This window comes from Homo sapiens, chromosome 20 (assembly GCF_000001405.40).
Source record: "Homo sapiens chromosome 20, GRCh38.p14 Primary Assembly".
Taxonomy (NCBI): Eukaryota; Metazoa; Chordata; class Mammalia; order Primates; family Hominidae; genus Homo; species Homo sapiens.
In genome coordinates, this window is record NC_000020.11 from 60,300,373 (window position 1) to 60,322,607 (window position 22,235).

The 22,235-nt window shown below is 47.1% G+C and overlaps 1 long non-coding RNA gene and 1 other non-coding gene across 2 annotated transcripts in view; both read left to right on the forward strand.

Moving 5' to 3' along the window:
- Nucleotides 1-21,884, forward strand: part of MIR646HG (MIR646 host gene) — a 183,765-nt gene extending 161,881 nt beyond the window's left edge. The window contains exons 4-5 of the long non-coding RNA NR_046099.1: nucleotides 18,549-18,635; nucleotides 20,261-21,884. This is a non-coding gene — a long non-coding RNA (MIR646 host gene). The remainder of the gene's footprint in view (nucleotides 1-18,548; nucleotides 18,636-20,260) is intronic.
- Nucleotides 8,102-8,195, forward strand: MIR646 (microRNA 646). The gene has a single exon (NR_030376.1). It is a non-coding gene; the product is annotated as a microRNA 646 (primary transcript).
- Nucleotides 21,885-22,235: the final 351 nt, after the last annotated feature.

Genomic DNA, 22,235 nt, shown 5'->3' on the forward strand with positions numbered 1-22,235 from the left:
TCTTCAAATTTTTTTTTCTGTGAAACAGCAATAAAGCACTGAGGGAAAAATAAGTCAAAATTCCAGCTGATGGCTATACCTGCTGCTGCTTCAAATTCTCTTCATGTTCTCTCGCCAGGATAAACAAACTGGAGGTGGTTTCATGGGTGTGGCGCATGCGAGGCCCACAGCAGAGGGCAAAGGGTTTATCTTTTTGTTTGGTTTTGTTTCTCAAAGGTTGGTAAATCTACACCTGCAGGCATGTTTAACTGTTTTATGTTACAGTATTTAAGATGCATCATCTTTAGCAGTGTCTCCTGTTGTATTGGGTAAGAGGGTGTGGGCTGAGAATGTTTGTGGTCAGGAAGAAGAGGGCACCCCTAAGAGCTCAGGGTGGCTCCAAGCTCCATCCATGTCTTGGTCTGTAAACTGGAACACCAGTGACAGTTTCTACCTATGAGACAGCCGTGTGGAAAGGTCTCAGCCATGCCTGGTACATGATCAGCACCCCAGCATTAGATGTTGAGAGAACAAAAAAGTATAGAAGAGAAGTGAACATTTATTCCTCTAGGAAACAAGCAAATTACTTATATATATAACATATATTAGATATAAATTATATCTAATATATGTTATATATTACATAATTATATATAATTTATATATATTTATACATATATAGCTATATAATTATATAATTTTATATAATTATATATAACATAATTATAAATATATAATACATACATATAAAATATATGTATGTATTATATATTATGCATATGTGTTATATATAATACATACGTAAAATTATATAATATATACATATTATATATAAAATTATGTATAATATAGTTATATAAATATTATATACATATTTTTTATATATATATATAATTTTTTCTTTTTTCTTTATTCCTTAGAGAATACCTCCACAGATGACTTACATTTCAGTCAATTTTAAAAAATAATCCTGAAACAATGGGAACTCACTTCCTGAGGGAGAAAAGGAAGAGTAGACAGAACAAGTCATATGCTGTGATTGGCAAGCCTATGAGGTGTCTGAAAGGTCCCCAGGATGACTGACAATTGGCCTCTTGAAATTAAACAACCATATCCTGCCGCCTGGGCACTCATGCACCGAGGCATGGGTATGTTTTGCATGCAAGGCCTGCCCTACAAAGTGTCTAGTAAGAAGGCATTATCTTTTAAAAGATAAAATACAGCTCAGGTAGATTAACTTTTTAAAGCTCCTTCTGTGATTTTATATTTTATATATATATATATATATATATATGGCATTGAAATGAATGAGGGATTTACAGAAGCACATAAAGGGGCACATTTTCCTAGTGCGTCATTGAGATTTAATGCAAAGGAGTGGACCCTGGTGGAGGGATGCAGGTGAAAAGTGCTGGTTTCCCCTCTTAGGGTGACTTTTTCTTGCCTTTTTGAATGCAACTGAGTTTGGAAAAGGAGCTATGGGGTCTCCAAAGTGGCCGGACCTCCTCTCTGAGTATGAAGGGGATGCTGCTGACAGCACTGTCAGGCTGTTGACCATTACTTTGCATCTGGTGTGTAGGGTAGGGTGCAAAAGGCCAACTGTTGCTGAGTGGAGTGGACACTCAGTCCAATTAGAGCTCTCCGAGAATCTGTTTGCAGCCAACTCGCAAAGCCAGCTGGGAGAGTCTGTGCAGAATGATTCTTAAAGTGATTGCTCCTCTAGAGGGAAATGTGATTTCAGTGACCACATTTAGGGTTTGGGTAATATTGACATCGTTTTATATATAATTGTGATGATATCATTTCTTACCATACTTAAAAAGGACTTAGAGACACTGGCTGAGCCACTTAGCTAGGACATCCCTCCCTTCTCCCTAACTGCACCTGTCTCTCACTTTGAAGTTCATATCTCAGAGCAAGACCACCCACTACTCCACCTGTTGTCATCCACAGATGCTCTGGTCCCTCCCCTTATACGTGAAGGGGATTGCAGCCACCTCCCTGCACTTTCTTCATATAACTCCTGCTATATTCTTGGTGATTTCTGTGTCTTTTTGAATGATCTTTTCAATATCCCGAGTTCTCAGTTTTGTGACCTCCTCTCCTCCAAAGATACTGTATTTTTCCCTATCTCAGTCACTCAGTCCCATGGGTCATATTCTAGACTATGGATTCTCAACCTTGGGGAGCTTTAGAAAATTCCACTCTGCATGCTGTGCCCCAGATCTATTAGAGCACAGTCTATTGGGATACGAGCTGGGCATCAGCATTTTAAAACTCCCCAGTTTACTTCATTGGGTAGCTAAGGTCACGAATCCCTGCTCCTCACTGCATCCCCGTTGGAGCTGGATGTCCAGTGTCCTTCTCTCCGAACTACACCTACTCCTTTTCCGGCTCCCCCAACTCCAATTCATCAATTTCATCATGACCTACATTCTTCTCACCCTTTTCAGCTCTCAGTCCCCTTTGCATCCTCACTTCCTTCCTCATCTAGTTTAGACTCCATCATGCAATATTAAGATCAGTCCCACGAAGACACTCTCAGCTGTCTCTCACCTCTGTTGATGCCATTAATATGGCAAGGTCTAAGCAGGTGAAATCCAACCTCCCACTTATTTCTTCCTGCACCCAGGCAGGTAAATATGTACACACACACACACACACACACACACACACACACAGACACACGGACACACACAGACACACACACACACACACACCACTCAATGTTCTGTTTTTATTTTAAATGCAAAACCACAGATGAGTCACGAGTCTTTGGTTCTGCCCATCAAGCCTATATTATTCCCTAAGTCTGCCCATTATCCACTATCTGAGATGACGACTTCACACCTCCTCCCCTTCTCGAGCCATTTACCCCTTGTCTACTGCATCTGTTTCTAGCTCTTGACCTCGTTTCCTATTTCACTAAGAAACAAACACTCATAATTGCCACATATCCCATCAACACATCCACCCGTCACACTCCTCTGAGCCCCAAGACTCTGCCTCCCTGTCCCCAAGACCCTCAGAGACCAGATCTCCATGTGTGCACTGGCATCTATGCCTCCTGTCTTCTCCAGCACAGCACCCCAGGGGGTTTGTTTTCTGCATGTCTCAGCATTGTGCTTCCTTCATCCCTTAAAATATGCAGAAACATCTCTTAACTCAACAAACGTGCACCAGAAAACCTCCCTTGGTTTCAATGCCCCTTTTCTCATCGCCCAATTTCTCTACACCCCTTTACAATGAAACACATGGAAAGTGATCTCAGTATTCATCGCCTCCCCTTTCTCTCCTCCCAGTCTCTCAGGGATCTCTATGGTCACACTTTTGTGCCCACCCCGGGAGATCTCCAATGCCTTTTGCATTGCAAAATTTAGTGATCCATTCTCAAAAGCACTGACCAGTTAATATTGCATTCCCCTTCTTGACTTTCTCAACCTGGCTTGGAGGCATGATTTTTCTCTTCTGTAAGTTTTCCTTCTAAGTCCGTGGCTAGTACTTCTAAGATGTTACTTCGTTTTGTTGAATCTCTCTCATCTCTCTGCCACTAAATGTTAGAATACCCTGGGGCTCGGTCTGTGGGCCTCCTCTCCATCTGCACACACTCTCTTGGTGATCTTCTAGTCTCCACATTTAAATGCTCTCTACGTCTCTGCTTGGATGTCTAGAGGCCATTTCAAAGCTGACATGTCTAGAGTGGAAGTCCCACCCCAAACTTTCTCTCCTAAAGTCTTTCCTATCTTAAAATGTTCTAGGAGATTTAAGCCCTGTCCTTACAGGTCCTGCAGCCAGAAATACGATTCATCCTCAACTCATTCTTCTCTGACACCTCACACTGAATCCATCACAATGCCACTCAGCTCAACCTTCAATATATGTTGAGAATTCAACCTGCCTGATGTCTAGCCTGCATGTGGCCTTCTGCCCTGGCCTGGAAACTGGATTTCCTGTTCCTGCTCCTGCCCTGCCACCACCTCATTGCCTAAAGTAGCCAGAGTGAATCTGTTAAAAGGTAGACGGGGCTAGGGGTGGTGGCTCATGCCTGTAATCCTGGCACTGTGGGAGGCCAAGGCGGGCGGATCACTTGAGGCCAGGAATTTGAGGCCGGCCTGACTAACATGGTGAAACCCCGTCTCTACTAAAAATATAAAAATTAGCTGGGCATGGTGGCACACACCTGTAACCCCAGCTACTTAGGAGGTTGAGGCAGGAGAATTGCTTGAACCCAGGAGGCGGAGGTTGCAGTAAGCCAAGATTGCACCACTGCACTCCAGCCTGAGTGACAGAGTGAGATTCCATCTCAAAAAAAGAGTAGACGGGATCACCTCACTCTGCTTCTAACCCTTCAGTGGCTCTTTTCTCACTCAGCTGGACACATGAAAATATAAGTGAAGGACCTTGTAAGCCATGCCAAAGGGCAGGCTCTTGAGGCTGGAGAACTACAGGGCAAGGGGAGATAAAAGACAATGAGAATAATAATGAAAGGAACAGGTCATGCGGCCAGTAAGCAGGTGCTGAAGGTTCCAGCCTCGTCCCTCTGATATCAGAGCATGTGCTTTATTCAGTTCACTCTATTGCCAGCCAGGGAAAACTTCTTAGGGCAGGGTCACCGTGCAGTGGGGCTTTGGAGGTCACAAAGGTGGGTTGGTTGTAGGGGAGAGAGAGTAGCACGGCAGATGAAGAAAATCTCATTGAGTATATTCTAGCCTAGGAAAAGCCAACACATCAAAAATACAGAGAGTGGCTGGAATAGGCAAAGGCTAGGAATGACCTCTGGTCTTTGCTATTTTGTGCCAGGACCTCTGCCCTCCGCCCGTGAATGGGGTGAAGGTGAGGGACTGAGACTGTCAATGCAAAGCTACTGTTGCTCTTAAAGAGCTTACTGTTTGGAAAACTTGCCAAAAACCTCCAAGAAGGTTCTGAACTGGTAGGTGTCAACCTTGCAACACACAGTTTGGTTCAAGGCAAGTCTTGTACAAGAGGACTCATTGATACCAGAGGCCAAGGCAGGAGAATGGCAGGAGTTCAAGACTAGCCTGGGCAACAAAGTGAGACCCAGTCTCTACAAAAATAACAAATAAAATATTAGCTGGGCATGATGGCATGCTTCTGTAGTTCCAGCTTCTGGAGAGGCTGAGGCAGGAGGAGCGCTTGAGCTGGGAGGCCAGGGCTACAGTGGATGAGCTATGATCACATCATTGCACTCCAGCCTAAATGACAGGGCAAGACCCTGTCTCAAAAAGATAAAATAATTTGGAGACAATATCTGGCTTTCTTCATACTTAGCCCAAGGCAACTCAAGTGTTACATCTAAGGCCGTCTCGGAGTTCACTTGCATCTTTTCTATCTCCCTACTTCTGGATTCCTTTGAATCTAGCATTAAGCCAGGAGTCTAGATTATTGATTATTGGTTATTTCACTCATTCCCACATCTTAATCGTAGCCTCTTATGTGCAAGGCAGCTAGCCGTTGGGCGTTGGGAGCCAGACAATCTCCTGATTTTTACTGAATTCCCCCACACTGAGAGTCCCAATGCCAAGTCTCTGGAATAACCCTTCTGATGCAGTCATCCAAAATCTGTCTTCACAAGGGTTTCTGCAAGGCTTCCCTCTGCAGCTTCCTCACATCTCGGCTGTATGTTGTCTACGTGAGGGGCACAGGAGATCGGTGAGAGGCATCGAAAGTACCAGAGATGCTCACTCAGAGCCTTAGAAATGCCTAGACCGTTCCTGGTGCATAGACAGCATCGATATTTTCGCTGCTCCATTTTTACTGCAACAAATATGAACAACAATTAAATCCATTTTCGTGGGATAATTGCCTGCAACCTGATGTCCTTGTAAGACACATTCTGCAACTTCAGTCATGTGGATTACACAGCACTATTTAAAACCTTCCCATTACCAGATAAGGTGGAGGGAAGGAGGAAAGAGCCAATCCATGGCCAAGTCCATTCCTAGATTGTCCAGCCTTTTGTGTCTGTTATTAAGCCCTTCAAAAGTACACTGCTTCCCTGGAGAGAAAATATATTTACATAGTTCCCAATCACTCCACCAGAGCAGCAGTGGCCTCAAGATAAACCTCCCAGCACCAGGGAAGAGGGGATTACACACACCACAACGAAGTCCAATTATATTGAAAACTAACAGCTAAATTTCTCTGCCCCTGCAGTTCCTAGAGTGTGAAGAGAGAAGGAACAAACGGAAGAAAAAAATTGTTGTAGCGCCTTAATGATGAGTGTGTGAGAAGCAGCCAGTTCCCTGTTCCTGCCGTTCATTTTCTGTGTATCGGTCCCTAACGAGGATTGGCAAGATCTGGAGATTGTCCTGGTCCCTCCTCGTGCCCTCTTTCCCTTATTCAAAGCACTGTGAGCCTCTCTTGCTTGGTTCCAGTTGCCTTGGAATGTGTTTTGGAAGAAATGTCCTGGATAGTCTCCAGGCTTCTTTATATTCTTTCTTTTTAGTAATTAACTTTGTATTGAGTTCTCCCACCAAAATGAACAGCCAGGCCTTCCTTCCAGATAGAAATTGTGGCAAGAAACAAATGGGAGTTGAAATAAATAACATCGTGTTGCTTGATAAATGTATTTGCAGTAGCAACAGAGACTGCCACCCAAGGAGTTCTAATTACGAATCTGACCCTGTAGAGCCAATGCCACAGTTGCTACAGAAAATAAATAGGCTAAGCAGGGCCTGGGGTTGGTTATTTCCATAGACTTGTCCTGGAAATGTTAATCAAAGCAAACCAGAGGGAGCAGGGAGCCAGGGTTATTCTGATAGTGCTAAAAAAATTAAGTTCCCGGCCGAGCGTGGTGGCTCACACCTGTAATCCCAGCACTTTGGGAGGCCGAGGTGGGCAGATCACGAGGTCAAGAGATTGAGACCATCTTGGCCAACATGGTGAAACCCCGTCTCTACTAAAAATACAAAGACTAGCTGGCATGGTGGTGAGCGCCTGTAGTCCCAGCTACTTGAGAGGCTGAGGCAGGAGAATTGCTTGAACCCAGAAAGCTGAGGTTGCAGTGAACAGAGACTGCACCACTGCACTCCAGCCTGGCGACACAGTGAGACTCCGTCTCAAAAATCAAGTTTCTGTTAGCCCTTTGCAATCTGGTCATAGTTCTTTCTCTCTTCCTCCCTCACTCTTTCTTTATGGAAACTATGCCTACCTGTGTATTTTCTTTGTGAAATATGATTTCACACTTTAGCTTATAAAAGAGGTTTTGCCAGGTGTGATCGCTCACGCCTGTAATTCCAGCACTTTGGGAGGCTGAGGAGGGTAGATAACTTGAGGCCAGGAGTTGGAGATCAGCCTGGGCAGCATGGCAAAACCCTGTCTTTACTAAAAATACAAAAATTAGCCGGGCATGGTGGCGGGCACCTGTAGTCCCAGATACTCAGGAGGCTAAAGCAGGAGAATCACATGAACCTGCGAGGCGGAGGTTGCAGTGAGCTGAGATCACACCATTGCACTCCAGCCTGGGCGACAGAGTGAGACTCTCTTCTCAAAATAAATAAAAGGGGTTTTAAAATTTGTTGTGGGGGGCGGGGAGGATTGGTAAAGGCTAGGAAATTCATTTAAAAAGAAGACCCAATGTTTGTCATGGCATCTTCAACTTCCACCCTCAGGGATGGAGGGAGATGTGCACTTGGCCTTTTCTAGTTGGACAGGTGTGCAGGTGAGGGCAGGACTCCTGGGGGCTTTAATCGGCCAGGGTTTGCCTGGTGCACACTGCCAAGAAGGTGAAAAGACGCAGGATAGGGATCTCCTATAGGCGGTAAAGGGATGGGTCAGGTGTAAGTCATCACACGCTCCTAAGCCCTGAGCAAATCACCCAGGATCCGGTGGAGATGACATTGTCATGACAATTCTGTCCTTCCTTCTGCCTTCCACGCACCAGGTAGAGGGGTAGGGCGACTGTCAGAGTTCACTCATGACACAGAGCCCCTCTGCTGGGTCAAGCAGGAAGGGATTCAGGACCGGGAAACAGATGCTTACAGGTCATTGTTGAAAGTGCTGAGGAGGGGCTCTGGCTGGCTCCGGGTTTTCTCGAGCACTGTGTAGCAAACCTGCCAGGACAGCACTGACTACCACAGCCAGGACAGTTCAGAAGCCTGGAGATCAGGAGTCTGCCAGTGGAGTCAGCACACCTGCTTTTCACCTGTGATCCCAGGAGAGGAAGCAGCTGCCTCTGAGGCCTCAGGCTCAGTGGCCTATCTTTACCCCAATGCATGCAGGTCAGAATGTAGCTGAACAGCAGCCCAGGGTCCTGCCCTGCTGCCAGCGGGAAGAAGAAAACAGCCAAAGCAGGAGGTGATCTTACCTACCCCTCCACCTCCACCTCGGGCCCAATTTGCATCCTGAGTCCCTGCACGGGGGCCTGCCAGGGGGACTTCACATGCTCAGCTGATGCAGGTGGAGGGGAAGGGAGAAGGCTGCCTGGATGCGGGGCCTGTCCACCCCTTCCACCCCATACAGCATCTGGTTCTGGTGTGGGTCCTCTCCTCCTCTTTCTCTACACACACACACACACACACGAGAAACACGCAGTCTCACACGTCTGATGCTGCCCCACACGTGTCGCCAACATCAGCCTTTGTCCAGCCTCAGCCTCTTTCCTCTCTGAGGGTTTGGCCACATCCACTGGCACTGCATTTCTTCCCTGCAATTTTGCTACGTCTAAGTATTGTCTCTATTATGATCTAGTTTTTGTCACCTTAGTTGACTTGTTAAGCTGAAATAGTTATTTCAAAAGGAACCAGTTACACAGATGGAAAGCCAGTGTCATTTGTATTAATAGGAGATAAAGGAATAATTAATACAATAAAAAGGGAATGCATCTTTATGAAATATTAATTATCAAAGGATCTGAGTCCAAGGACTGTGCTCTTTACTGAAAAGATAAATGAGTAAAGTGAGGTGTCAAAGATACATTATTCTGAAACTGAGCCTTTTTCATCAGATGGATCAAAAAGCAATTACAGTTGAGCCTTGAACAACAGGGGGCTTGATCTGCATGGGTCCCCCTACATGCTGGTGGTCTTCTACCTCCGCCACCCCAGAGACAGCAAGACCACCTCCACTTCCTCCTCAGTCTACTCAATGCAAAGACCATGAGGATGAAGACCCTATGACAGTCCACTTCCACTTAATGAATAGTGGAATATGAACAGAGAAAATCTATATGAATAGAGAAAATCTATATGAATAGAGAAAATGAATAGAGAATATGAATTGAGAAAATCCATTTTCTCTTATTTTCTTAACATTTTCTCTTTTCTAGCTTTATTGCAAGAACACAGGATACATATAACATACAAAATGTTTTAATCAACTGTTGGTTATTAGTATGACTTCCAGCCAAGAGTAGGCTATTAGTAGTTAAACTTTTGGGGAGTCAACAGTTACTTGTGGATTTTCACTTGTGCAGGGGGCGGTGGAGCAGTTGGTCCCCTAATCCCCCACGGTGTTCAAGAGTCAAATGTGTGAAAGGGTAATACACATTGCTGTGCCTGCCAGCTGAGACGATACAGGACAACAGTGGTCATCAGCTTATACTTTTTCATTTCTCATTTAATTTTTCAAACTATCCTGGAATACGTATTATTCCCAGTTTAAGATGGGGAAGTTGAGATGCAAGAAGAAATTGGACACGGTTCCAGATTGAGGAAGTGGGGGTGCTGGACCTGTACCCAGCTTCTTGACCTGAGTCCTGGGGGCTCCATATGAATCAGAAGGGGGCAACCGTGTGTCAAAGCCCTCAGCTCCCAGCATTAGACTCATGCTTACGACATGCAGCTTTCACCCCTCTTTGATCAAGAGAGGGTTTCTTCTGTAATGTTTCCCCCATTCTGAGATCTCAAGGCAGTTTACCTCAAGGGACATGGTGATGGCTCTTTTCAATCTCTGGGTTGGTTCTCTAACATGAAAGACCACATGGCCGGGTGCAGTGGCTCACGCCTGTAATCCCAGCACTTTGGGAGGCCGAGGTGGGCAGATCACCTGAGGTCAGGAGTTTGAGACCAGCCTGACCAACATGGAGAAGCCCGTCTCTACTAAAAATACAAAATTAGCCAGGTGTGGTGGTGCATGCCTGTAATTCCAGCTACTTGGGAGGCTGAGGCGGGAGAATTTCTTCAACCCGGGAGTCAGAGGTTGCAGTGAGCCGAGATGGCGCCATTGCACTCCACCCTGGGCAGCAACAGTGAAATTCCATCTTAAAAAAAAAAAAAAAAAAAAAAAAGAGAACACGGAGAGCATGAATAAGTGGAGCCTACACTGCAGAGATCTGTTGGATTTTTCTGGGAATGGCTTTGCCTTCATAAACATTTTCCTTTCTCAAGTGTCAGGGACAGGGAATCAAAGCGGCACATGCTGACCTTTCTCCACAAAACGGAACCTCCCGGCCCCGGGGCCATCTGTCTCCATTGATGCACGGCAGCTAGAAAGATGAGGACTCAGACCTGGGAAGTCTCTCAGAGCAGCTCTCTGGCAGGCCTGTGGCTCATTTTTAATTGCTCAGCAGTGAAAATTATAGAGGAGAATAGAATGTCTGCCCTGGCAGTTGGACGATTTTCTTACCAGTAACCTGAGGATGTGACCTGGTGGGCTCTGCAGAAAGAGAGGAGAGTTGTAAGTCTGTCACCTGTGAACATCTGGCAGAGGTTATTATGCATGCAAATTTTATGCATGAAATTCAAAGATGGAGGCCGACACCCCCTCCCCCCGCAAGTTTTATGACCTGTGGATAAGTTATGCGTGAGTTATGCATCTGACTAACGTAGGGGCAGACCCGGGAGCGTCTGTCTGGGTATTTCCAGCTAGCTGTGTCTCTGGTTCTGAGCAGGAGGATTGATACCCCTCCAGGCTCTGCTCTACATCTTTCCCTTCCTACCACCTTCCCTCCCTCCCTCCTTCTTTCATTCAGCAAATGTTGAAAATGCAGCCACAATGCACCAGGTGCTATGCTGTACACCAGAGATACAACCACCCAAAAGAGAGACCTGGTTTCTGCTTCCAGCTGGCAACGTAGCATGCTAGTTGAGGACGCAGACCTGAAGTCCAGGGGTCTAAGTCCCAGTTCTGCATCCACGACTTCTTCCTACCTGTGCAAACCTCGGGAAGTTACCTGGCTCCATTCTGCCCCATCTGGAAGTAGAATTGTGCTCACCTTCTAGGCTGTGTTTGTGAGGACAGGAGGTACATACACTTAAGGGAAGCAGGCCTAATTCCAGGGAGACTAGGAATATGCATGTTGGGGTCTTTTTCCTCCCCAATTTTGGGGCTGTGCGGGAAGAGAAGATGGAAGTGGGACCCACCCACTTCGTCTAAGCCTCAAGTGGAGAACTGAGTGATGGAGGGCAAAATGTATAAATGGATGCAGCAAAGGGGCCTGGGGCCTTTTGTCTGAGAAGTTTCTGCAAACAAAGAAAGTGAGACCAAAGTCAAATGGGTCCCTCCATGATCCTTTGTGGTCAGTCTGTTTAGCTCAGTTCTCTGCCTGTGGCAGAGCATAGGGGAGCAGGATCCATCATCCATGGGAAGGAGACAAGGACTATGCAGGGTGGCTGTGCCCCAGCTGATCTTCAGGCAGGAGCCTAGCACCCACGTAAACTAGAGAGAGAGCTGCCCAGAGATGCCGCCGCAGTTATCCAGGAAGGGGAGGCAGCAGGAGGCAGGAGAGATTTGACTAGTGAGGACCAAAGCTCAGGGGCTACAAACACACAACACCTGTACCTGGGAGAACGAGACAGAGCTTGGTCCTACCACCAGCCAGTGAGGCTTTTGACTTGCCCTCTGCCCTGTCTTCTTTCAGGTCCAATGTCATCTTCTCAGTAAGGGCATTTCTGGGCACCCTATTCACCATCGCACGCCCTGCACCCACTCTCTTCTCCACTCTGCTTTCCCCTTTAGCTGTGGTCACACCAAATGTATTATGCATTTTATTTCTTTATATTGTCCACTGGGGTTCTACCTATGAGGATCCAGGTAGGAGTTCTCACCGTCTTGCTCACAGTACCTGGCACAGGGTAAGCCCCTGACAAATCATTCTTAAATAAATGGATAGATGGGTGAATGAAGAGTGGGTGTCCTGATCAAGTTTGCTCACACATTAGGCTTATAACCTCTTTAGAAAGGGGCATCTGTCACTCTGATGGCCCTGAAAATATCTCATAATCTGTCTTTCCAATTTTCCCTATAATGTATTTTCTTAAAGTAAACTTCAGTTAGAGTAAATTTCCTATAGAATTAAATGTGAAAAATCCTAGTGCTTTGTACCAGGTCAGAATTAACTTTCATAAAGATGACCTCGGAGCTGTCCCTTTTCACATCTTTTTTTCAGGGAACCATGAGTAAAAGTATAAAGACATTTAAAAAATTTTCCTTAAGGAAAAGAGATGCTAAAGTCTTCTCTAGTCTACATTAGACAGAAGAAATTGAGCCAGGACCTTGGGTTGGAAATTCTTATCTGTATATGTATTTACTCCTTTGCTTAATCATTCTCTCAGTCAACACATATTTTGTACTCCCTAGGTGCTAGGTGTGATATGAAGTACAGGCAGTGATGAGTAAGCTGTGCTCTTGGACTGAATGCTTTGAAGGTCAAGGAGGACAATGGTGGGGGAGAGGACATTGGCTGTAGACAACAGGGAGTTGCAGGTGGTCTTCTGGTGGGCCTCTGTGTGAGTCCACTGAGAGTCAAGGCAAAGATATAAAGAGTGATGAAGGTATGAACAGAAAGAATTGAGGTAGCAAGGGGAGGATACATTTTTTGAGAATTTTGGAGGTGAAGAGGAGAAGTCAAGGGTTGTATTGGGAGGAAAGAGCAGGGTTGAAGTTTGGGAATTGAAGTGATTATGAATATGTTGTAAGTACGTGGGATGTAGCCAATGGAGGGAAGAGCTGATGATGTGCGGAAGCCACTAACCCACTAAATCCCTTTCCCGCATCACAGGCCCTGCTGAAAGGGTTGACAATGAAGACTCTCAGGCCACCGTAACTCATGGAGAAGCCCTGAGCATCTGGCCCGCTTGTAAGCGAAGGAATGTGCTGGCATCAGGGCTGGGTGGGATTTCATTTTCCTCCTATCAAGTTACCCTTAGCCCTGGTATCGTGGAGAAGTTTGTAGCCACGGGCATGCCATCCAACGGAGGCAGCCTCTACACTTGTGCCCTGAAAAATCTAAAGCAAAATAAGTCATTTGGCAAATACATGTGGGTGCCTGAAACAAGCCAAAAGACTTCAGCGTTCAGGATGTGCAAGCCACATTAATAATAATGAGAAGGAACCAGGTCATCTGTTTCCTGATGCTCAGTCCTGGCAGCCTCTTAGGTGGAACAGGGGCCAGACGCTGGCTAGAGAGCTCTTACCTAGAGTTATTGGTCTGTGTGTTGAGACATGGGGCGTCTCCTGGTGGCCTGAGTGGGATGAGGACATCAGCTGAGCAGCAGTGGTGCTGCTCTGCAGCTTCAGCTTACGTGTTGTCCCAGCCACATAGCGCTGGAAGAAACCTGCCTGGAATGTGATCAAGTGAGTTCTCAGGAGTGGGGAGGTCACACGTGCTGCATTTTGATGCTGACTTTTTATATTCAAAGCAATTTGCCCAGGTGAGCTCAGTACAAGTATTGCATTACCTGATGGTTTATGGATAAAATACCTGGATGTACAACTTAGTTGTCTCAAATTCAGCAAAGTTGTTATAGTCTAAGTGATGGGGGTGGGGGGTGTTCAGTAGAGGTCTGAAATCCTGAAATCTGGGATTACAGTGATTCTCATAGGGAGATTTCAGGCACTTTTCTGTCATCCACTACCTGCCCTTCTGCCATTGCAGGGTCTAGTTATCTTTATCTCCTCTGAGGTCTGAGTTCTACATTCACTTGTTTCCTCATTTATTCATTAACAATATTCATTTCTTAGCCAAGGATGGTGGTGCACACCTGTACTTCCAGCTACTCAGGAGGCTGAGGTGGAAGGATTGAAAATCCATCCATCTGTCCTCCTACCCATCCTGCTATCCATCCATCCATCCATCCTCCCATAATCTATCTTCCCATCCATTTGTCCTTCCTTCCTTCCTTCCTTCCTTCCTTCTTCCTTCCTTCCTTCCTTCCTTCCTTCCACCCATCCATCCTCCCATTCATCCTCCCATGCATCCTCCCATCCATCCACCCAACCATCCTCCCATCCATCCTCACATCGATCTTCGCATCCATCCATCGATCGATCTATCCATCCATCCATTCTCCCATTCATCCATCCTCCCATCCATCCTCCTATCCATCCATCCATCCATCCACCCTCCCATCCATCCATCCTCCCATCCATCCACCCTTCCATCCATCCATCCACCCACCCTTCCATCCATCCACCCTCCCATCCATCCATCCTCCCATCCATCTATCCATCCATCCTCCCATCCTCCCATCCTCCCATCCATCCATCCATCCATCCATCCATCCTCCCATCCTCCCATCCTCCCATCCATCGTCCCATGTGTACATCTGTCCTGCCATCTATCCATACATCCATTTCTCCGTCCTCCCATCCATCTTCCCATCCATTCATCCATCCATCTTCCCATCCATTCATCCATCCATCCTGCCATCCATCCTTCCATTGATCCATCCATCCATCCTGCAGGAGACCAGGAGTTCAAGGCTGCCGTGAGTTATAATTGTGCCACTGCACTACAGCTTAAGTGACAGAGAGAGAAACCATCTCCAAAAATGAAAAAAAGAATATATTGATTTCAGGCCAGTTACATAGATTCTGTGTTGAACAAAACTAGATGTGTTTCATTCCTGTCTTTAAGGAGCATAAATCTAATAGGAACAACAGATAATTTTTAAAAAATATATCAATGTGTGTAAAATTTCAACAGGAATAAGCCCCAAGGAGGTGTGGTACCTGGGGCTATAAGAGTAGCTAATAGTAGAATTTGGGATAGTCTTGGGGAAGGAGAGGGCAGAGAAGGCTTCCTGGAGGGGTGATGGTTGCTTTGAGAGTGGAGAGAAAGAACCAGTGTTCTTGGAAAAGAGGGTGGCCTGAGCGAAGGGCCTGTGGCAGGAGGGAGTGTAGAATTCAAGGAACTGGGAGGAGGTCCTTGTGGCTAGGAATATGCAGAGTAAGGGGAAAAAGGCAAGAAATAAGGCTGGAGAGTGGGGAGGGCCACAGCACACGAGGCCTTCCCTGCCCACCTTGCCCACATGCCCCAGACGTACTGAGGAGCTGGATTTGGTCATTGTTCTTATGAGTGCTGTGTTCCCAGATTTCCCCTTCATAATCTGGCGACATCCACCAGAGCCAGCTCCTGTGTCCCTGATGTGATTACCCCTGACTCCTTCCCCTCCTGACACCTGCCCCAGGTACTCACACCTCTACCGATGATGCCTCAGCCTGGCCCTTTGGCTTTTTGACCTTGGACCCCTCCCCACTCCCTCTCCACCTCTCTGCTTCCCACTTCCCTTGTTTCCAGCTGCTCCTTTCCCTGTGAGCCATATTGGTTCCAGCCCCAGCCTCTGCAATAGCTTCCCCAAATGAAGTGAATCCGAGGACCACGTAGGATGTAAGCCCCGTCACCGTGGTGTTGGTTAGTGAATGTCTCTTTACTGTCTATTTCCCCATTCAGTGCCTGTCTCCCCAACCGACTGAAAGCTGCAAAAGGACAGAGTCCTTCCCAGGGCCCAGCACAAAGCTTAACACGCAGAACATGCACCATAAATGATATCCAACCATGACCTTCCCCTCCCCCAAACTGCCCCACAGAGCCCAGTCCCACAAAGCCTGAGACAAAGGAGCTGCTTTTCACACAGACAGACACAGACAGACTGATGGACAAGCTGGAGGACCCGGGGACGGTGAGAAACAGGCTCCAAAAGCATTCTGGCTGCCAGTATTTAACACACAGAGCTATTTTCAGATGCTAGTCACAGACATTTTGAACTGCATTAGAATAAACAGAATTCTGAATTATCTTCTCAGCAGTACATGAAAGAACTGTCTATCACCCAAAAGGGAAAGAGAGAATGATGAATTTCTAAGGTAAAAATTCTGGAAGAGGGAGGAAAAAAATCCAATCCACAGGCGGTTCTGGAATCTTCTCACACAACAGGTGGTCCCCCGCCCTCCAGTCCCCTAACTCCTGTGATTAGGAGAAAGTGGAAAGCTGTCAGCTAGACTGGGCTCAGGCTGGGTATCTGGGCTCTTGGAAATGTATATTTATTTGCTCATGCTAATGGTCAGCAGGCCAGGATAAATGGGGCTGGGGCATTAATGCAGAGCCCTGTAAATCATGCATGAAGGGGAAGACCATGCCCAGCACCGAGGGGCCAGCCAGCCGAGGAGGCTGCATGAAATATTCAGCAGCCAGACAGACTCAGGCCTGCTCCAAATCCCCACGTCCAGACCTCTGAGGATGTGATTTTTGCAGAAAGCTTTAAAAGAACCTCAAATGCCTTATCCTTGTGTTCCCCAAGTCTCCTATCAAAGCTGGTTCTTGCTGAATGGTGTCTCTGTGTTCCGCCTCTGGGGCGTTGGTCATGAGGACCCCACACTGATGGTTCCCCTCCCCTGTGCCACTGCAGCACTGCTCACCCATCCGGCCCCGCAGCAGGCTGTGGTTTCCCTCCCTGTCAACCACAGGGCCCTTGTACATACTTTCCTGTTTCAGGAAGGTCTCTGCCTGGCTCATCTTGCTCTCCTTCTCTTCTTTAGGTCTCAACTTGGATGCTACCTCTCCAGAGAGGCCTTTGTTGCACCACCCACCCCACCCCTAAGTTGGCCTTCTGTGCAGTTCTCTAGCTCTGTCCTCTGTCCTCTTTCATGCCCTATCACAGCTGTGCTCATTTTGGGGGCATGCTGTCACTGGCTCTTTGCTGTCCTCCTTTACCAGAATTAATCTCCATGCTAGAAGAGGCTCTGTGGGCCCATCCTTGCTGCACTGCAAAGCAGCATCTGGCATATGGCAGGACTCAGCATAAAGTCAAGGAGTGAAAAACAGGTGCCTCTCAGCAGGCATGAGGTGAGCCTGGAGGTTCATCCCTGGACTCTACATCTCCTCTGCAGAAAATGTTCTGATCCTTGGATATGATCTTCAGGTTCCCTATCCGTGAAGTCTGTACAACCAATAAGCCAGGCAATGATTTGATGAATAGGAATAGTAAGGTTTTTTTCCTGATCCATTCTAACTGCAGTAGCCAAGTTAACATATGGCAGTGTGCTTTCTCAGGACAAACAAACAATGATAGATTCATACCCAAGCTGAGAGGGGCGAACTGTAATGCCATCCAGCTTCCCTCCCAGTACAACAGGGCCCTCTGGCTTTGTGTGGGTGCTTGTGGATAGACACCTCACTTCCTTCCAAGGTAGCTGGTTCCACTTCCAGCCAACAGCTCAGGCTGCCTCCCAGCCCAGCTATCCTGCAGGTTCCAGCCCCACAGCACGTGTGTCTCTGTGTCCTCTAGCCAGTAGGCTTCTCCCCCAGAATGCTGGATTTCTTATGGAGATTTTCCTGGATAAGATGAGCAATTGGGCTGACCATTGGACCATGTGTATTGATGCAGTTATTGTATGCACCCAGAGATGGAGAGGCCTGGTGCTTCCATTCTGATGTGCTCTTGGAGAAAGCCATTGAGGAACTGTGGTCAGCAGGTGTTCCAGGAGTTTCAGCGCCATGGGCTTAGTGGGGCTTCATGGCCCTGTGTATGCATTTCCGTGTCCTGCAGCCAGGGTGTCAGCTCACTGCATTCATTCAATAGCTCCTGAGTTCCCACTGCATGCCAGGTACTGTGTGTGTGGTGGTGGGGGGTGACTTTTTATCAAGCAAAGTCAAACCACACATGCCCCCTGCCTTTTAAGAGTTCAAGATCTGTAGCACAGACAGCCATGGGGACTAGGAGCTCCAGCACCGTGAGCTGTAGTGGATGTACACAGAGTGCCCCGTGGGCAGGCACAGGTGGCAGCTAATTCCAGCCGGGCTGGCTTGGGGATTCCTTATGTGACACCCACTGTAGACCCAGCCTGCAGCTGTTTCCTTCAGTGGTCACCTCCGCCTGATGAAGGAAGGCAATGCGTTCTCGTGTGAACGGCTGCTCTTTGCTTCTGGTCCAGGCCTGCTCGGACTCCATCTCGCTCATGGCGTGGCTTTGAAATGATGCTCATCAGGCTCCCTGACCTGCTCAGGGATAGGCCACTGTGAGAGTTCCGCTTTGATTTTCAAGCAGCTGAGACACCAGAGGCGTGGTGAATCCCCCCAGCCCTCCCCTCAGAATAAGCTATCTGTCCGGTGAGAATAGTCACTCCTCCTGTTCTTTGAGGACAAGACCAGCAAAAGACTTGAGTCACCATTTCCAAAGAAAAACAAGGAGAATGCAAATTTCTCGGCTTAAAAATATATACAAAGGGATTGATTCTATATAACTCTCTGGAGTAAGAAGAGCTGTGACTTCCATTGGCTGGTGCTGTTTAGAGAAGGATCGCTGTGCTGAAGTTGAAAAAGAGTGTATTCAGCTTTGATATTTGGAGAAAGTGTCCCAACCATCATGTATTTCTGCCTGGTTTTCTTTTAGAATGCACCAGCTGGAGTCGACATTAAAGGGCCCCATTTCCCATTTGCTGCAGAAGATGTTTAATTGGAAGTCTCTCCCTGTCCTTTTGTAAGCCTCATTTCTGCATATTAGCTTTACACATGAGTTCTGGGGTGACTGGTCAAGACGGGAGTCTGTGTGTAATTAGACCAGACCAAGGAAGAAGCAGGAAGTTTGCTGGCGGAGAACATGGGAGTCTCTGTATCGCCTTTAATCACTCTTCCTGCTTGGTGTAATGTTCACATGTTGTCTTTCATCACAGCCATGGGGACAGAGCGCCAGTTCATGCTATCTCCTCACGGGGCCCTTCGGTCCATCTCCACCCACCACCCAGCCCTCACTGTCATCTGTCTGACCCCATTGGCCTTGCTCTTCTTTTTGGAACATGATAACCTCCCGCCAGCCGCCCCAGCACAGTCTCAGGACGTTTGCATGTGTCGTGGCCCCTGCACACTGTTTCCTCAGCTCCTGGCCTGCTTGTTCCCTTCCCATTACCCTTGTCTCTGCTTAAGCATCAGCTCCTCAGAGGTCCTCCTGACCAGCCCATTGCAAGTACCCTTTCCCCTTCCTCCTTGCGGTTCTGTTGCTCCCTCCACCTTGCAGCTCTGCAGCTTCCCGTGAATGTGATTGTTTACATGCTGACTATCATGTCCCCCACCTGGCTGTTCACCCCTTGACACCAGCACCAGCTTTCTTTCTGGCTGCGTTGCTGCCTGTGCCTGCAGTGGTGGCTCCGTAAGCATCTGCTGAACAAACGCATGGATGAATGAGCCCTTTCAGATCCAGGCTGTGTGGGGCTCAAAATTAAAGAAAACAACATACAAAATGACACATATAAAATTAGGAATGGGGTTTATTTAAATTCTTAAAAGCTGCTAAATTTCTGTACGTCACAAAACTATACAGTATTGAATATTTTAATAGTTACCTGATTGTATTGTACGTTTTCCTACATTTTTCTCTTGCATACATTTTGCCTTTTCATATGACAAAAATGTTTGGTATTGCTTTTAACAGGACAGAAAGATAATTCCTCTAGTGTGGTCAGATAAAGCTTTTTTTTAAAGTTATGGATAGTTGGTGGCATGCAACGTGCAGATGGTCACACAGACAGACTCATGTGGCATTGGGTAAGGTTTTGTCCTATAGACACAAGAATTTTGATGTATTCTTTTTCTTTCTTTTTTTGAGACAGTCTTGCTCTGTCACCCAGCCTGGAGTGCAGTGGAGCAATATCAGCTCACTGCAACCTCTACCTCCAGGGTTCAAGTGATTCTTGTGCCTCAGCCACCCAAGTAGCTGAGTAGCTGGGATTACAGGTGTACACACAACACCCAGCTAATTTTTGCATTTTTAGTAGTGGCAGGATTTCACCACGTTGGCCAGGCTGGTCTCAAAATCCTGGCCTCAAGTGATCCACCCACCTCGGCCTCCCAAAGTGCTGGGATTACAGGCATGAGCCACTGCACCCGTCCTTAGATTCTTTTTCATCCCATAAAAAAAAAAGATTCATTTACATTTGTGTATATGCATTACAAATTATTCCTTACAAGGGAGAACATTTATTTTGACTAGGTAATAATGAGAACTGAATCCTCTCCTGATAATAGCGTGTCTGATGATAAGAAGATTTTTCTTAGACTGGCTTCTGGCTCCATACATTTCAAACCTTGCTCCTTTTCCTCTTCCACCAGACCCTCTGGTGCTGGGCACCAATGAGAAGCTCATCTGGCCCCGGGATCCTGGCAGGACACTGGGAGCACTATTTCCATGGGCAGCAGGGTTGTTCCTGGAGACATCACTGACCCAGGACACCTAGCACAATGGCACTCGATGTGAAAGTGGCTTCGTACAAATCTGCCACTCAAGCCTAAATAAGTGCATTCCAGAAGAGCCGCAGCCCCTCTAACAGCTCCTGAGGTGAGGGAAACCCTAGGGATGGGAAGTTGGAGCAGAAAGAGATGGTGGCCTGAAGTCAACTGCAGTGAAAATCTCTCCCCATCAGCAAGTTTTGCAAAGCTATGGCCACAGGGACACATGACTGGGGCCCCTCCTAGTCTTGGAAGGAGCCCCCATGGAAATGAGGGCCTCACAGTGAATCCACCTCTGATCCTACTTCACCTGCAGTCAAATGAGAAGAGATTTCAATCAGCTAAAGACACCCTATCCCCTCTCCCCGACCCCTGCGACCCCAGGAGCTCCTGCCTTGTCACTGTGTCCCCAAACGAACCGCATCTGAATCAAGCCCCTTTCTCTCCCTAGTGGTCAACATCTGGGCTGTGATGGGCAGCTCCCACTCTTGCCTTAGAATATGACTGGAGAGGTGACTTCTCATCACATGGAGAATATGTTCACCCCATGGTGCTTTCCACCCAAGCTGACCATGGCTTGACTTTTTGGTGTAGTTGCTAGCTCTGTGCCATCCTTGGCAATGTGACCCTGGAGCAGCTGTCCCCAGTGTGCATTTGGGGGATTTCATGTAATTATGAATAGGATGCAAATTTTATAGCCCCAGTGAAGGGAAACACCCCTGGCGAGGCTTCCCGGGGCCAGAGAGAGGACTCCACTGAGGGAGATGGTGGCAGGGCCATTCTTTGTGTCCTGCTTTTTTTTTTTTTTTTTTTTTTAACATCCTCTTTATGTCCTGAGAGCCATGTGCAGATGAGGAAAAATGACATGCAATGCATTTTTGCCTGCCACAATGACTTTGCAATCATAACAAGCAAAATGTTCTAAACAGTAAGTGAATCGAGGAAGATATACTGCCAAGTCAGGAAGAAAAAATCCACCTGTTCAGTGATTTCAGGAACTGCTGAAGAAAATCACCAGTGAGTATCAGTTTCTGCAAGAGAATCTAATGCAGGCTTTGCTTCTCATCGGAATCCCCCAGCTGGTGTCTTGGTTGACTGAGAGTCTGGGGGAGAGGGCAGAGAATGGATTTATTCTCTGCTAGGTTTTTAACAGTCAAGAAGGGCTGTGGTCCTAAGGGGCACTGGTCAAACCTTAGTGTGCATCAGAATTATCTGGATAAGGCTAGGCACAGTGGCTCACGCCTGTAATCACAGCACTTTGGGAGGCTGAGGCGCGTGGATCACCTGAGGTCAGAAGTTCAAGACCAGCCTGGCTCTTTTAGTAGAGAAACCCTATGTCTATTAAAAAGTACAAAATTTAGCCAGGTGTGGTGGTGAGTGCCTGTAATCCCAGCTACTTGGGAGGCTGAGGCAGGACAGTCACTTGAATCTAGGAGGCAGAGGTTGCAGTGAACTGAGATCGTGCCATTGTGCTCCAGCCTGGGCAACAAGAGTGAAACTCTATCTCAAAAAAAAAAAAAAAAAATACCTGGAGAGCCTGTGAACATGCATAGTGCTGGACCCCATGCCAAAGATACTGATTCAGCCTGTCTGGGGTGGGCCAGAGATTCTGCATTCTGTCTAAGGAGCTCCCAGGTGAGGCACATTTGCAGACCACAGTCTGGAGGTTTGAGGACTTGGAAGACCATGGCTGACATATCTTGAGTCTCTGCCTTGGTATCCTTTGCCAAGCAGAGAAATGCACTGTTTATGTTTTTCAGGAGCTCAGGAAGCAGAATGCAACCCATGCAGATGTAGGGGCTGGATTCTCTCTATGACTGAGTGGGAGTCTCAGCCCCAAGAAATGCCCCGGGTTGGC